Source organism: Homo sapiens, chromosome X (genome assembly GCF_000001405.40).
Source record: "Homo sapiens chromosome X, GRCh38.p14 Primary Assembly".
Lineage (NCBI taxonomy): Eukaryota > Metazoa > Chordata > Mammalia > Primates > Hominidae > Homo > Homo sapiens.
This window is the reverse complement of record NC_000023.11, coordinates 112,073,442-112,091,383: the sequence shown is the minus strand read 5'-3', so window position 1 is coordinate 112,091,383 and position 17,942 is coordinate 112,073,442. Positions and strand designations below refer to the sequence as shown.

General features: G+C 41.0%; 2 protein-coding genes across 5 annotated transcripts in view; one reads left to right on the top strand and one right to left on the bottom strand.

The window, feature by feature from the left end:
* RTL4 (retrotransposon Gag like 4) overlaps positions 1–8,371 on the bottom strand; it is a 374,502-nt gene extending 366,131 nt beyond the window's left edge. Inside the window, exon 1 of one of the 2 annotated variants that reach the window (NM_001004308.3) lies at positions 8,267–8,371. The gene's annotated coding sequence lies outside the window, so the exon portion shown is untranslated. The remainder of the gene's footprint in view (positions 1–8,266) is intronic. The other variant, NM_001395362.2, reaches the window with a different exon arrangement.
* Positions 8,608–17,942, top strand: part of TRPC5 (transient receptor potential cation channel subfamily C member 5) — a 314,766-nt gene continuing 305,431 nt past the window's right edge. For all 3 annotated transcript variants that reach the window (NM_012471.3, XM_017029774.2, XM_047442413.1), the window contains exon 1: positions 8,608–9,505. The gene's annotated coding sequence lies outside the window, so the exon portion shown is untranslated. The remainder of the gene's footprint in view (positions 9,506–17,942) is intronic.

Here is a 17,942-nt window from a genome sequence, read left to right as displayed (position 1 = left end):
TTTATATTATACATGCATACATTAAAAAGAACACCTAAATTAATAACCTAACTTACATTTAAGGAACTAGTAATAGAACAAATTAAACCCACAGCTAGCTGTAGGTAGAAAGTAGTAATTATGAGACAAGAGATAAATAAAACAGATATTAGAAAAACATTACAGAATATTAACAAAAGTAAAAGTTAATTCTTTGAAAAGATTAACAATATTAAGAACATTTAGCTAGACTGACAGAAAAAGAAGGAAAGATTCAAATTATAAAATCAGAAATGAAAGTGGGGACATTACTGCCAATATTAAAGAAATAAAAATAATCATAAGAGAAAACAATGAACAATTATACAACAAGAAATTAGATAACCTTGATGAAATGGAAAAATTACTAAAAACACACAAACTATTAAAATTGACACAAGAAGAAATAGAAATTCTGAAAATATCTATAACAAGTAAGGTGATTGAATGACTGATCAGTCCACCCCTTGCCCCCTTAAGAAGCCCAGAACCAAATAACTTCATTGGTGAATTCTATCAGATATTTAAAGAATAATTAACAGCAATTCTTGTCTAAATCTTCTAAAAAAATTTTAATAGGAGAGGATACTTCCTAACTCCTCCTACAAGGCCACCATTACTCTGATACCAAAGCCAGACCAAGATAGCACAAGAAACAAAACTACAGACCAATATTACTTATTTATACAGGTACAAAAATCCCCAAAAAAATACTAGTAAACCAAATCTAGTCACACATTAAAAAGATTATACACCATGACTAAGTGGGATTAATCCCAGGAATGTATGGTTGATTAAACATCTTTAAAAATCTATTAATATCAATGTGATATACAAATTAATAGAATGAAGGAAAAAACCATATGAACATCTCAATGAGGAAAAAAAAGATCTGACAAAACTCAACACCCTTTTATGATTAAACCACTCAACAAAGTATGAACCGAAAGCAACTCCTTCAACCTGATAAAGGATGTTTATTAAAAACCCACAGTTAACATCATAGTCAGTAGTGAAAAATTTAAATCTTTTCCCCTAAGATCAGGAACAAGACAAGGTTATCCACATTTTTCCTCCTATTTAACATGGTACTGGAAGTTCTATCAAGAGCAATTAGACAAGAAATAATAAATGGCATCTAAATTAGGAAGAAGTAAAACTACCTCTATTCACAGATCTTATATATAAGATCTTATATATATATATGGTCTTATATATAAGAAATCCTAAAGAATCCATAAAACAACTATTAGAACTAATGAAAAAATTTGGCAAAGTTGCAGAGTACACGATCATTTGTTTCTGTAAACTAGTAATGGAAAATCAAAAAATGAATTTCAGAAAACAATTTAGTAATCAATAGTATCAAAAAGAATAAGATATTTGGGAATAAATTTAATCAAGAAGGTGCAAGACTTCCACACTGAAAACTACAAAACACTGCTGAAAGTAATTAAGGAAGAACTAAATAAATGGAAAGACATCATTGTGTCATGGATTAGAATACAACATTGTTGAGATGGAAATATTTCCCAAAACTATCAACAGATTCAATGTACTCACTATTGAAAGCCTAAAGGATTTTTTTGAAGAAATGGAAATGCTGATCTGCATTTGGATTTAAGGAACCCTGAACAGCCAAAACAATCTTAACAGTCTTGAAAAAGAAGACCAATGTTGGAGGACTCACACTTCCCATTTTCAAAACTTAATTCAAAGATAATAGTAATAAAAACGGTGTGGTATGGCATAAAGGTGGATCTATAGAACAGTAGAATAGAATTGAAGGTTCAAAAATAAGCCCATATGTCTATGGCCAATTGATTTTTTACAAGGTGCCAGTATCATTCGATCAGGAAAGAATGGTCTCTTCAACAAGTGATACTGGGACAACTAGATATTCACACACCAAAGAATGAAGTTAGACCCCATCTCACACCATAAACAAAAATTAACTCGAAGTGGTTTAAAGACCTAAATATAAGAGCTAAAACCATAAAACTTAAAAGAAAACACAAGAGTAAATCTTTATGACCTTAGATTGTGCTATGGTTTCTTAAATATAACACTGAAAGCATAAGTAACAAAAGAAAAACAGATTCCAGGGGGGAGGGATAGCATTAGGAGATATACCTAATGCTAAATTACGAGTTAATGGGTGCAGCACCGCAGCATGGCACATGTATACATATGTAACTAACCTGCACATTGTGCACATGTACCTTAAAACTTAAAGTATAATAATAATAAAAAAAGAAAAATAAAAAAAAGAAAAACAGATAAATTGGGCTTCAATAAGCTTTAATACTTTTGTACATCAGAGGACACTATCATAAAAATAAAAAGACAACCTAGAGAATGAGATAAAATATTTGCAATATTTAGATATATTGGATAAGGGACTAGTTTATGGAACATTTAAAGAACATTTATAACTCAACAACAAAAGGACAGTCAACCCAGTTTCAAAAGTGGGCAAAGGACTTGAACAGACATTTCTCCAAAAAAGATATATGATAGGTGCATAAGCATGTGAAAAGATGTTCATCATCACTTTTGTCACTGAGGAAATGCAAACCAAATCCGCAATGAGATACCACTTCACACATGCTAGGATGGCTGTAATCAACAAAATGGAAAATAACCAGTGTTGGTGAGGATGTGGAGAAACTGGAACCCTTGTACATTATTGATAGAAATGTAAAATGGTACAACCACTATGGAAAACAATTTGGTGGTTCCTCAAATAGTTAAATATAGAATTACCACATAATCCAGCAATTCCTCTCTTAGGTAGGTCTCCAAAAGATTTGAGAACATGTATTAAAACGAATACTTGTACACTAATGTTTGTAGCAGCATTATTCATAATAGAAAAGGTGGAAACAAGCGAAATGTCCAACATCTGATGAATGAACTAAGTGAAATATATTATATCTATACAATGGAACATCAGTAGGTTGCAAAAAGAAATTAAGTACTGATTATATGCTACAACACAGATGGACCTTCAAAACATTATATTAAGTAAAAAAGAAGCCAGACCCAAAAGGGTAGACATTGTATGACTCCATTTTTTTATGAGATATCCAGAATAGCTGAATCCATAGAAACACAAAGCAAATTAGTTGTCAACAGCTGGAGGGGGGCGGAAATGGGGGAGTGATTGATTCAGGGATACAGGATCTTCTTTTGGTATGATGAAAATGTTTTGGAGCCAGGCGCGGTGTCTCATGCCTATAATCCCAGTTCTTAGGGAGGCAGAGGTGGGAGGATAGCTTGAGCCCAGGAGTTTGAGACGTGCCTGGACAATATAGCGAGGCCCTGTTCTCCACAAAAAGGAAAAAAAAGGCAAAAAAAAAAAAGAAAATGTTTTGGAACTAGATAGAGGTGAAGGTTGCACAACATTGTGAATATACTGAATGTCACTAAATTGTATAGTTTAAGATGATTAATTTTATGTTATGAGTCACTTCAATACAAAAAGGCAGAAAGGGAGAAGAAAGGAAATTAGCAGTTAGTGAGCTACTGCTATATATTAGGCTCTGTGCTAGGCTTATGCATTATCCAATTAAATCCACTAAACGACACTGTGAGTCATTGTCCCCAGCTTACAGATAAGCAAACCAAAGTCCATGTAACCTAATTTCCATAGCTAAGAAACATGAATCTGGAATTCAAACCCAGGTCTGACTCCAAAGCCTACACCCTTTACCACCACCTACTCTGTAGGAACCTCCCATAGCTCGCCTCTCATTACTCTGTCCATAAGGACTTGTGTCTTTGATCAAGAATAAAGCATGGCTCACCAACTACTCCTTCACAATGACAAACTTTCCGGAGAGAAATGCTGAAATTTCTTGGCCCTACTCCCAGCCTCCATAGATTTTATAAAACATGATCTGCAGTTGGGGTGATTTTTAGGAGCTTCAGGAAGTCCTCATCCCAAGGACATACATGTTCCCTCATGCTTGAACTCTTTTCATTAAAGAGATAGAGCCCTTTTCCCCACAATTGGAAAAAAAAAAAAAAAAAAGCTGAAGACCAATCTACTCCTGGGAGAGGGAACACATTAGTATAGTGATTAGGACAGATTATATCATTCCATGAGGGATAGTTTTTAATAAGCTGGGGAGGGGGCAGGCAAAGTAAAGACTAAACCTACTCTTCCTGAGGTCCCACAGAGTCAGTCACAGACCAGCAAGACACAATTGGAGCCTTCTCTGTCACTATCCTCTAACCTCAGGCAAGGTGCTTCTCAATGGTCCAATATTCTGCAATGTCCTATGATTCTGCAATTACACTTTACAAATTTGCTCAGAGCTGGCCCCATTTGCATTGCTATTAATGGTGAGGACAGCAAAGTCCTTAGCTAATCCATGAAGTGAAGCTCTGTTTACACATCTTTTATTAAGATTAATCATTAATTAATGTAAGGCTTTATCCCTTGATTACAGGGATCCCATTCTGATATAACAGTTTAAATGTTCTCTTGAAAAATGAAACATATTTTTCAATTACAGTCATTCGTCGTCCCAATTCAGGCAAAACTTTTATTTAAATAAATAATTAGTCTTGGCAATAGCATCATAATGTATGAATGTGTAAAGTTTGAATGTGCTAATTGTTGGTTCCTGCATTAGTCTTTATAAGTGACATGTTGCTATATATATACGTGGTATTGGGCTAAGAATTATCCAAAGCAAGTAACACTGATGCAGTCCTGCCTGGCTCACCGGAAACTTATTTTCTAAGGCAGGAGCTTACTCAACTGATTTGAACAGATATTCCATGCTTTCTCCTGCATTTTCCTTTGCTGAATTCCTGATCAAGATCCTACAACTTGCATTAGTGTTGTTTGACTTCCTGAGGTAGAGATAGTGCTGAGTGTTAAAACCCATAATCACACTGAGATATTTTTTCAACACTCCACAGTATTTTAAGAATCACCTCTTTTTACATTCCATTTCTTTTGCTTTTGCCATTGTTGAGTATTTCTCTAGCATGCAAGTAGTTAGAAACTTTCCTTGAAAACAAAAACCTGCTTTCAAATTGCTCAATTTGTTACAGCCTTTGTGATGTTGTAGTCATTTTTATGCTGGATACAGTGTTATGACACAAATGCCACACGCTGAGAAGTCACAAAAAATTGTTGTAGGACTATGCTAATTAGCAAAACAAAATGCAATCTCTATAAGGCAGAACCTCAAACAATAAGCCACTGTTTGGGGACAAATAGGAAATAGAAGAGGGAAAAAGCCAGGTTGGATTCAATCCAGAAATTGGTTATCTATGAAAATCAGTAACCCTTTCCCCTTGGGGAAAGAAAGGTCAATAGTTTCTTAGCATACTGAAGGCTGGGATTATGTCTTACAGATCTTTGCTATAATCAATACCCTACTCATAGTGTGTGCTTGACAAGAATTTGATGGTAACCAGAAGATGGCATTGTTGATAACAATGAATTCCACCATTTGTCAAAACTTAGCTAATTTGTGAGGGTTCCTTTTTATGTCGTTTCCTCACAAAATATTCATTATTTTCTGAGACTCTGTTCAATGCAAAGTCTGGACATGCCATGTGGGTAGAATTAAGGTTAAAATATGGTCTTTGAAATGTGACATTACCTTAAATGGCACTCATTCTATATGGTGAGGGGATAATTTTGCTCCCCAGTGGACATTTGGCCATGCCTGGACGCATTTTTGGTTGTCACAAATGGGGTGTGGGTTCCTACTGGAATCTAACAGACAGAGGCCAAGGATGCTGCTAAACATTCTACAATGCACAGGGCAGCCCCCCAACAAAAGGAATCATCTGGCCTAAAATATCAATAGCATCGAGGTTGAGAAACCCTGCTTAATGACTGGGAAAACCCCACTCTCTGGATTCCTCATAACAGTTTCTCTTCACCTACGATGTTACATTAAACTCTGGTCTACATATACCATTTACCACTATGGTCAAGGCTGTAAGAAGAGAGGAGAAAAGAGTATGTCTCAATTACATTTTAACAGTCATACCTGTCATGGTATTTGAATAGGCCAGGCCATGTAAGTAAACCTAGTCTAGAAGCTAGGTAGTTCTGGGCTTAAATTAGTCAGATAGTGGCTTCCATTTTTGGCTTTGAGCCACTTTTGCAGATGTAGCCTCTAGGTGCAAACTACCCTGGGAGACATACACACTCAGCCACCAAGTGGAAAACCAGAATATGTCCCTATTGACAGAGAAGATGAGCCACCCAGCCCCAAGGCTGACAAGCAACCTAGACAAAGCTTGGGTCCCTGCCTAAGTCAGCTTTCTAATTGCACTAGGAGATACTCTGCTAAGTTTGTTTTGGAATTCGTATAGTAATGCCTGGCATTTGTATGGTGCTTTTAACTTTTGAAAGGATTTTTCTTTATATATCCTTGATCTGAAGAGGTTAGAAGGATAGGGCAGAAACAGGATAGGGCAGGAGCAGAGAAAGAAATTTTAACCTTATCCACAGTCCACTGGGAAAGCTCCAAATTTCAGAAGCACACACAGTCCTCATATGTTAAAGACAAGTGCATTGGATATAGGGCCTTTGAAGGAAACAGCTCACAAGAATAAGGCTTTTGCTCTCCCTGAGCACTGCTTCTGGTTGCATCTGGGCTTGGAGTGGAAGTCTCAGCTGGACTGCAGTTTGGCTAAAAAAAGGGAAATGCCCCCAAAGTTTTATCCACGGTCACATATTCTACTCACCCTCATGCCAAAGGGAAGACGGCTTAATCACAACATAGACCTCCCTTGTTTGGGAGACTGTATATTAGTTTGCTGGTTCACAGTAAAACTGCCTTTGAATGAAAGGCAAAGAATCAAGTGATTTTTTTTTTTCAGCGACCCTCTTGGCCAATCTTTAGAAACACTTCCTGAAGTATTTAAGTTGTTAAGAGGTGGAAGCTCCACCCTCACTTCTTCCTCCCCAACTCCCTTCCCCCCAGACACAAACTCTTCATCCCCCAGGGTAATAATTTTCTTTTCTCCAATACCTTGCTCCCATACAAAAGCTAAATACTCTCCAGAATATTGGACTGCCTCGGGACTAGGAGGACTAACGACAAGGGGAAAATTTGTCTTGCTTGGTGCCCCGAGCGACTTTTCCAAGGTAGGCTAGGAGGAGAGTGCTTAGGGCTTCCACTAAACATAGCTACTACCAGCTTCACAGGCTCCGCAATGAAAACACTCGGCCATTTAGGCAAGGGAGATGATTCTGGCATTTTCGGGAGCTTACACTTAGGCTCCCAGGGCGTGCAGAGGGGGTTAAAGAGCAACAGGAAGTACAGTGGAGTTTTCTCAGAGCTAGGGATTGTTCTGAGAATGGGTAGGGAAAGGTTTTCAGGTACCAGCCCGGCGTCCAGAAAGGCAGAGACTCACATGCCCCTTTCCTGAGAGCGCTAGGAAGGGAGATAAAAGACAAAGCCAATATTTGGGGCTGTGCGGCCAGGCCATGAAATGCTGCCAGCTAGTGGACCTATGCGCCTGCAGGTTGCAGGTAGAAGTCTCAGGCTTGTGGTGGGGGTGGGGCTATTTAGCCCCTTCCAGTTGGGCTCAAGAGGGTGGACATTCTGAGCGCCAGGCTATAAGGTGAAAGAAGTGGAGAGGTGCTTCATGTGAAAGGAAGGCGTAAAGATCAAAGAGTGGCCCAAGTGTCCGGTGACACCGCCCCTCTCCCTCCACAACAGATACCACTAAGCAACCTAGCCCCCCGCCCCCATCCTACAATATCACTTTCCCTCCCTGTATCAATCTAGGCTGGATCTTGGGAGATCGACCCTATGGGTGAGAGGGGCACGGATGGGAGAATTAGGTAGCTCCAACTAGATTAATCTAGATCTATCAGGGATCCAAGCCTGCCCCATAGGACCCCAGGTCAGTCCCTGGCGACTCAGCGCTCCGCTGTCTCCCTGTCCTACCAGCCGCCCGCCGCCCTTACTCCCCCAGGTTCAACTCCCCTTCCTCCTGAATGACCTATGGTCGCCGGAGCAGCCTCGCCACCACCGGCCCAGAGCCCAGGCTGACGGGGGTGGGCAAAGGTCACTGCCCAAAGCAGGGGATATTCAGGCCAAGGGGCAAAGAGAGACTCTGCTAGCCATATGCTCCGAGGGACTCCTGTCCCCTCTACCCGCACCCGCGCTTAGCCTCCCACCTCCCCTCCCGTCTCTGCCACCACCCAGGGGAGGGGGAGGTCTGGGGAAGCAAACAAACGAGACAGAAAATTCCGTACCGAGGGGGGAGAGATGAGACGGTGGGACGGGGCAGCGGGGGTTGACTTGGGGCTGCGGCTGCGGCTTCCTTCCACCCCTGGCCGCGGAGCTGCAAAGAAGGCAGGAGCTGCTGCCCCTGCCGCCTGCCCCGTCCTCCCTCTTTCCCTCTCGCCTCCCCGCCTCCCCCGCCCCGCCCCGCCGCCAGGAGATTGAGAGTGGCTTCGGCCCGGGGGCTGGGGGAGGTGAGGGGTGCTTTTGCCTACCACGGTTGTCTCAATCTCTCTCTCTCTCTCTCTCTCTCTTTCTCTCTCTCTCTCTCTCTCTCTCTCTCTCTCTCTCACACACACACACACACACACACACCCCACATCACAACCACGACGGGTTGTCCGCAGCTCGCAGCCACCCCAAAGGGAGGAATAAAGAACAGGAGCAGAGGGAAGCCGGGCGCAGAAAGAAGGGAAAAGGAAGAGCTCAGGGTTGGACATTTTTGGAGACAGGGGTGGGGAGGATAAAGGGAGCGTGCCTCCTTGATTTTCCCCTCCCCACCCCTCTTTGCTTTTCTCTCCCCTTCTCTGTATAGCATATTCCAGAAACGGCAGCAGAAGGGGACAGAAACCTCTAGTGTAGAAAAGGGTTTTGGAGGGGTAGCCAGCGCTCCCGCCAGCCGCTACCTAACAGCTGGAGCTTGAGTGTGCGTGTAAGAGTGTGAATGCGGCTCTCTCTCTTTTTTTCTCTCTCTCTCCCCTCTCTCTCCATCCCTTCCTTCCTCCCTCCTTCTCCCTCTCCTTCACACTACAGTGTCAGCTACCCCTGTCAGTTTCCCCGTGTCAGTTTCTTCCCTAGCTCTTATTGTGTGTGACTGGCTGCGTGAAGGGAGTGGGTGCGCTTGAAGGGGCTCAGGTTGGGTTAGAGAGCTGGGAGAACAGGGTAGGGACATTGGTAGAGCAAAGAGTTTCAGGGCACTGGCGAAGGTGAAAGGTGAGGAGGGCCGATCTGTTACAGGCAAGTTTGGCAATAACTGAGCATCCAAAGGGGAAGCCAAGGTAGGAGCCAGTACTTGCGCTCGTCTTTACACCCCGCCCCTTTCCCTGTGCTCATCCGCCCACCCACCCATCAGCCTAGAGGCCCCGGGCTGTCCCAGTCGGCTGCTGTTTCGCGCCGCAAAAGAGGAGTCCGGCAAGGCGCCGCACCACGCATCCTGGCCGGTGGACATCCAGACGACACAGATTTTATCCGAAAAAACCACTTGGCTCAGGGTAAGTCTACAGGCGGCCGGTGCGGTCCATTTCACTGCCTGAGTGCTGCTGAGGGGCAAGGGGCAGCGAAGTGCGGGTTGAATGAAGATGCTGGGCTGCTGTAGGCGGAGAAGCATTGACTGGCTGGCTGTGGGCTCAGGGTGGTAGGGAGCAGAGGGAGGCCAGCAACAGATTGTTTTGGAAGAGGAAATGCAATGGGGAGAAGCTCCAGGGTTGATAGGACAAGGTGCTGCCTGCGATGACCAAAAACATCCTTTCACTGGGAATATTTTCCTGAACCACAGCTTTGTCCTATCCCTGGACAATGATTTGCTCCATTCTTGGGTAGATTTTAAGATCCGTGGGGAACCTGCTCCCAGGCCTCCTTAAAATCGATTAGTGTGGCCCTCGGACCAAGGATACCTGCCCTTCGTCAAAAGCCACCTTCAGAAATAGAGAGCCAGGAGCCGGATCATGAAGGTTCAGGAACCAGGGTCCCCATTTACCTTCTTTGTCTTGTATCCTTCAAACTTAAGAAATGGCCAGATTTGTTTGCCTGTCTTCCTTAAAGGAACCAAGAAATGCAAATGGAGGGGCATCAGTCAGATCTCTGCTTCAAAGTGGACACCTCCCTCCCTCCCTAGACACACATCGACTCGGACAAATGGTCATGATCATGTCCCACATATGCAGGTACTGAGCTGAATTCACAGATGCTGATCTTTCTCCATGGTCTCTTAGAATGAGACTAGAAGGGCTTTTTCCCTATTACAACCTGGGCTCTTTGGATCGCAGTCATGTACCTGGTGATGGTTAAGTGTTTAGCAAGGTTATTACTCCCTCAGGAAAAGCCTGAAGCGGGGAAACCAGCCTGAAAGATAGAACCTCTGAACTTTACCCGAGTTTATTATAAGAGTAGGAGAGACATAGACTAATTGATAATGCTCTTTTTAGAGATTGTGCATGTTAACCCTTGGCTTCAAATGTGAAATGATTACAACATTGACATGGCACACCCAGACCCACTTTTCTATTGCCATATATTTATCTTCATGGCATTTAACAAGAATGACAGATTTATATATCAGCATTCATAATTGTCTATTGTTGGTGTCATAGGTTTTTTGATGTTTTATTGATGATTTATATTATGTCTCCTTTCCCATAAACTCTTTAAAAACTGAGATATAAATGATGTCACATGGTACCTTTCATCATGTCTTTAAAATCTGCTTATTCTAAATCAAAAGGCATGTTAATATATTTACATAGTACGAAGTTCGTTTCAAAGCAAATATATAGTCTGGGATAAAAGAAACCCACAGGGTCAAGGAGTCTCTGAAGCTCTCTCTGTGAGGTCGAAGGAAGAATTGAATGTCACCTAAAATCCACATTTTGGTCCCTGGAAGATGCTGTTTTCATAAACTTTCACAATATACATAGGGAGAGAGAGAAAATCTGTGTGTGTGTGTGTGTGTGTGTGTGTGTGTGTGTGTGTGTGTGTATGTAGTTTTTCAAGGACCTCAATCAACCCCATACAATCTTGGCTCTGCTTTTGTAACAGAGGGGAGCAGGAGGTGAATTTGTGCTTCCAAAGCACCCAGGTTCGTCTGTTAAACTTTCTATTTATTACTATGTTACCAAAATGCAATGAATTGCCTCTTTCCAACTCAGCAAATAAGAGAAACGGATTCTGCATTAAGTGAAACTGTTTATGTTGCATCAGGCAATTCTTTCTAATGTTCACTGCTGAGAGAGAGCAGAATGAGGATTACTCAAGTAGGATCTGAAAAGGTGCCCATTCTGTTACTTTTTAAAGCAACCATAGTAAGTATTTTCTTAGGTTAAAATTACACTTTCAAATAGATATACTAAAGACCGGGTTGCAGACAGGTAGGAAAGAACTGGCAGCATCATAATTGGGGAAAAACTCAAAATATCAGCACGAATGAAGCCTACAGTGTAGGTTTTGCTCTGTTCTTGGTGATGTGAGTATCTGGCTGTTGAGGTAAGTCCTGATGGTTACCCAGGGGATAAGCATGTGAGCAGGTTCAGGGATTCAGAACCAATGTAGCCCCCGGCTTCACTGATACTAATTCACCTGGCTTCAGTGTACATCTCAACATGGAGACCTGAACCAGATATCTGCCATCCTTCCCAGCCACAAGAGCTATAATCCTAAGATTCTGTTCTTTCTATAGCTAACAACTAAAACCGGAATGGCACGCAGAACCACAGTACTTAGAGAAGACTAGGCCAGGAAATTAGAGATGCAGAAGGGAGGAAGATGAGAGGAATATGAGAGAACCGAAGATGTTTTGAAACAAACAGAAAGAAAACTATCCAGGTGTTTGCTTTGACTGGGAATGGAATTAATCCAGAAATCAACTCATATGTGAAGCATCTTAAAATTGCCTGTATTTGACTTGCAAACACTGTGTAAACAATGATAGAATTCCATAGTACCAGGGAATTGGGAACCTTGGAGTACATTCTCAGTGTTGCTGTCTCATTTCTCTCCTTACAATATTAAATTCCAATCTGCAAGCCATTCAGGTGCTTAGTTATTGAATGGATATTTCAAATGTGTCATGATGCTTTCCTGTAGCCTGTTTTCGAATATTCTAATTTATTTTTTGCCATGGCTCCATCACTGAAGGTGGTAGATTGAAGCATTTCTGCCTGCTTTACTTCTGCCAAAGGTTCCTGTTTTCACCTTAGTATACTAAGCTGTTCAGATGCCTCCTGCTAACTGATGAAGAATATAAGGCGCAGAATCTCTCTCCCCAAAGTACTCTGTGCCACAAGGTGCCACTGGCCTAATCTGGCCCAGTCATTTGCCAGGTTTGCAGGGAAAGGTATGACAAAGTTTGCAGCCTATAGACAGAAATAAAGCCTCATTCTAGGCAGAAGTTATTCCTCATCCCACAGATGAGGGATAAGCTAAGGCCAGCCATCATGTCCAGAGCCTAGTAGCTGACATATCCACAGTGTCATCCTTTCTAAAACTCACGAAGCTTTTCTTCTGTTGATGGGCCCCTCAAACTTTGTCCAGTGAGACCAGCAGAGCCATACTGCCAGCAAGGAATGATTCCTGAATGACTCAACTGTGGTCTTATAAACAAACATGTACATCATGCTCAACTGAGTGAGCACAGATGATTTAAAGAAATTATAAAAGCTGATAGGGGCTAAGAAAAATTGCAATTTGCTGGGTGAAGGGAACTTTGCAAGTTTCTTAGGTTTGGTTTTCTGTCACCAATTCTGGAGTTGGCCCTTGGATGGTGGTGGCCAATGCAATTGCCCCAGGTTTTTGCCTTAGCAAAAGGAAAGAAAAAATAACGATAAGAAACAAGCGGGGATCTTGGAGGGGTCAATCCTCTCATTTCACCTATAGAGAAATTGAAGTCTAGAGAGTAGAAATGACCTGCCTAAAACAGACTACTAGCTAACAACAGTGGCAAAACCACAACCCAGTACTGTTTGCTGATACGAAATACATTTTCTGAAGTTCTGTGGAGATCTTCCCAAGAAATCGAGAGGTAACTAAAGTCAAGTTTACCAAGATCACAGCCCTCTACTTCCATTCCATATGTATGTATACGTGTTTATATTATATGCTGCTGTCATATCTTTGTGACTTACCTTCTTGACCACCACCTCCCCCTAACACACACACACTCACACACACAATCCTATCTTGCTAGCTAAGAAAACATTATATGTGTCTATAGCTAGCGTATTCAGATGGAAGGCAGAATTAAACATGACAAAAATTTAGCTGCTCACATTTATGTGTCTGATCTGGCTCACACCACCAACAGCAAGGCATCTAGAAATCCCAGTCTGTTCTGCACCATAGTAGTTTTGGGGAATGGAAGCTAGCAGAATCCAGTGACTATGGCTCTGGTTTAGTATACTCAGTCTCAGAATCAGCCCCCCAAATGCATGTGCAAATACACACACATGCACACACACACAAACATGCACATACAGTCACACTCTTTCCGAAAAATTAAAACAAAGAAAATAGAAAAGATAAGGCAGGTGGTTTTTAGAGCAGAGTACAAGAAGAAGGAAAGGTTTGCAGACGGATATTCTTACCTTCCCCCATTCTTTAGCCTTATTGCCTAATTTTCATTAATCCCACCCTAATTTATTTTAGGATCTGAGAAAATAGAGCAATGCAAACATGTTTACTACAGCCCAGAAGGATGATCTGAAAAACCTCCACATTTGAGTGAGAATATCACAAGGATAGGGAAAAGGCTAGGATGTAGTGAGCTAGAGCCTTGCTACTCCAAGTGTAGTCCCCACACCAGGATTGCCACCATCCCCTGGGAGCTATCTATAAATGTAGAATCTCAAATCCTTCCCCAGACCGACTGAATAAGAATCTGCATTTTATGAAGATCCCCAGTGATTCATTTTTATACTAAAATTTGAGAAGCACCGGGCTAGAGCTTATCCAAAAAGCATCTGAAAGATATTTGAAAATAAACAATTACCTACTGAGCATGTAGGGACAATTCATGTGGCTTATCAATTAAAAAATAAAATATAAACTTTTTCCAGGTCCACTTATCTTATTATTCACTGTAAAACCCTTCAGTGTGGGCAAGAGAGTTCATGTAAAGGGAGTGAGATCATAGGATTTGTTTATTTACCAGGACGACTTGGGTGTGGGAACTCACACAGACCTGAGTTCAAATCCTGGCCCTGCTCACGAATTACTAGCTGTGTAAACATGCACTTTGCCTCTAAGCCTCACAGTCCCCATCTATAAAATGGGATTAATAATAGTACCAACTGGCACTGGGCTGTCATGAAAAATTAAATAAGACCGTATAATGCACTGGGATATGGTGAACAATCAATAAATAGAAGATATAATTCATACGATTTGGCTAATAATTTTAGTTTGGTAGAAAACCAACCACTAGATGTGATATATTGGGGCACCTAGCATTATTTCTAATTGACGTGAATCTTACTGGGTTTTCTACAGATAGAATGCTAAGATATACAACAGTAAAATATATTTAAATATGATGGAGGCCACTAGAAACAAATATTTTTTCAGAAGGAATTACAGGTGTCCCTAGTGAAATCACTCCATGGAAGAAGACTGAAGTCAGAAGTGGCCCTGTTCTATGAAGCATATCTCAAAATATTACCAAGTTAGAAAGTCAAAAGTGAGGCATTTTCTGCATGTTTGCATATATATGCAGCATGAAAACACACACATACATACACACACACGGACGCATCATTTGATGGACAAATTATAAAATAATTCAAGGCCAAAATGACATTCTAGGAGCAGAACTAGGTTTCTGCCTGATAAAATCTTTAAAATGCACAAATAATAACCTCTACTTCGTAACTTGCTCATGTTGCACAGTTTAATGGCTTAGGTATATACTATAGCTATTACTATTTTGTAGGTGAAAAAAAAAGAGCAACTCCTACCTCTTCCCAGCCCATGGTGCTACCTACCTGCTCAATTTTCTCACCAGTAAAATATGATACACGTAGTACTCATAAAGTCCAAGAAATCACCAGGCACTTGATTCTATAAAGACTTATTGACTGGCATGTGCAATCTGGGCAACCTGATTGTAAAGACACAGAGACAGACACTACCACCTCTGGATCCCAGTCCTTTGGTATGTTCCAGACCTCCAGCTTCCCCTGATTTTCAATAGTATCAGATTAGTAAGGTATCAATAATCTTATAATAGACAATATTTATATCTAATTGCTAAGATTTCTGTGATCACCCTAAATAAACAATAGCACGTGTTATCAATTATTGACTATCTTTATATTAGTTTTCTATTGCTGCCATAACAAATTCTCACAACCTTATCAATTTAAAACAACACAAATTTATTATCGTTATAGTTCTGTAGTTCTGAAGTCTGACACAGGGATCACTGTGCTAAAATCAAGGTTTCAGCAGGACTGCCTTCCCTTCTGGAGGCTCTAGCAGAGAATCTACTTCCTCACTTACTCAGATTGTTGGCCTAATTCACTTCCTTGATGTTACAAAACTGAAGTCCTAATTTCTTTGGTGGCTATCATTCCTAACTTCTAGAGACAACCCACATTCCTTAGTGCATGGCCCCATTCCTCTGACTTCAAAGCCAGCAAGGGCCTGTTTGATGAGGGGGAACTCAGCTGGCCAACTCCTGTCTCTTCTCCCTTTGCATCTCTCTCTGGTTGACTGTTCTGCCTTCCTCTTCTGCTTTGTTTTGTGCTTACATTGGGCCCACTGACATAATCCAGGATTATCTCCTATTTTAAGGTCTGCTAATTAGCAACTTCAATTATATCTGAAAAATCTTTTTCACCATGTAACATATCATATTCACAGGTTCTGGGGATAAGGGTGTTGACATATTTACAGGTTGGCCATATCTTGTCTACCATAATCTTCTGTGTGTTGAGTGCTACAAATATGGGGTTTTAAATGACATTCACTACAGTTTCTATATGATAGGTATTATTATTATTCCCATTTAACAGGTGAGGAAACAGGATCAGACAAGTTAACTGGTATGTTTAACATTGCGCAGCTTGTGAGTGGTGGAGGCAGGGTTGGAACACAGGTCACTCTTCCTCCAAATCTTGAATTTTCCCTGTTGGCCTACATTATGCTGAACGTGGCCTGAAAGTTTGTAACTCACATAAAATATTTAACCTCAAGAACGAACAGAAAACGTTATCCTTTTGATTGTTGTCATCTTTACATAGTGGTCATCACCAGAAATTTTTTTAGTAGCTTTTAGTCTAATGATAAAGACCAAACAATGAAGAAAGATTGACAGGAATATAAAATGTATATTTGTTTATACATCTAGGAAAAGGCTGATGAAGTAGTGATGGGTAGGTAAAGAAGATTGTCGCAGGATGTTTGATGTTGCAAAAGAGAGGATTTTCACATTTGTTACGGGGCAGTTATGCCAAGAAAGAGGAAAATGAGAGGGCTAGTTGGAAGGATAGAAACAAGAGAGTGTTAAGGAGTAATTAAACAGCTCAATCCTCAAAGTGGTAATTGAGCCCCTAATATCAATCACTTGGCGAATATTCGCTCAGTGTGCACCAGGTGGAAGGCACTGTTGGGAATGCAAACAGGCATGCCCTTCCTTTTCCCTCTAGGAACTTTCGACATGGTCAGAAGTGAGTGGGATGATGGGAGCAAACATGAAGTGAAATCCTGGTGTGGCCAAGTAGGGCATCATGCTTTAAGCCATTCATGGAAACAGGCAGGTACTTCCAGGAGATAGAGTGGGGAAGTTCAGTCTGTAGAGGCCTTTAGATGTTCAGGCTGTGCTGGATTTAATTTAGTGGATGAAAGGAAGATACGAAAGGATTTGGAGATTTTAAAAAAAGAAATAATGATAACCCATTTGGGAATGATTATTCTGGAAATGGTGTGTAGGAATTCCGGATTGGTGGAGGAGCAAGCAATGGCAGGCATACCAGTTAGGAAGCAATTATAGAAATTTAGGCTTTTTGTCCTTGCGATAGTTTGCTGAGAATGATGGTTTCCAGCTTCATCCATGTCCCAATAAAAAATATATATATATATATAATAAAATAAAAATAAAGATGATAAACAGAACTTTGCTACTCAAATAAAAATAACTGATATGGCCTTCAAAAAAAACAAAAGGAAATTTAGGCATGAAGAGTAGCACTGTGGTTAGGTACAGAATCTAGGTCCAAATTCGTCTACGTGTGATTTTAACTGTGCCACTCTGAGCCTTAGTTTTCTCTTCTATGAAAAGAAAAAACTAAAAGTACCTGCCTTAAAAGAATACTGTGAAGTTGAAATGAGTTACATGTACAAAGCACTTAGCCCAGTACCTGGCCAGAGTAAACATGTGCACGTTAACTGTTATACTGTTGTTATTGCTGTTGTTACTGTAGTGGTGCACTTGGAAAGGATGGGGTATAAAATACACTGTAAAGAAACAATAATGTTGAATGGCTGTGTGATGTGTGATGAAGGTAGTCAGAGATGACTGCAAGTTTTACCTCCTTGCTAGGTAACAGAGAAGTGGTGCCATAAGAAAATGTGAAGGCGAGGTGAGATAATAAGGCGAGGAAGATAATAAGTTGGTAATAAGCTTTGATATAAGATTAAGCGCGGAGTCAGTGTGAGACATTCTAGTGAAAATGAAGCTTGGAGTCAGTGTGAGGCTTGGAGTCATTTGAAAATGACTACCAGAAAATTTTAGATGTGACACTGGAGCTCAAGAGAAAGTTTAGGGATGAAATGAAAATTTAGAAAGTCACAGATATAACAATTTTTATCTCTGGGCTGGGCATGGTGGCTCACATCTGTAATCCCACCACTTTGGGAGGCCAAGGCAGATGGATCGCCTGAGGTCAGGAGTTCGAGACCAGCCTGACCAACATGGTGAAACCCCGTCTCTACTAAAATTAC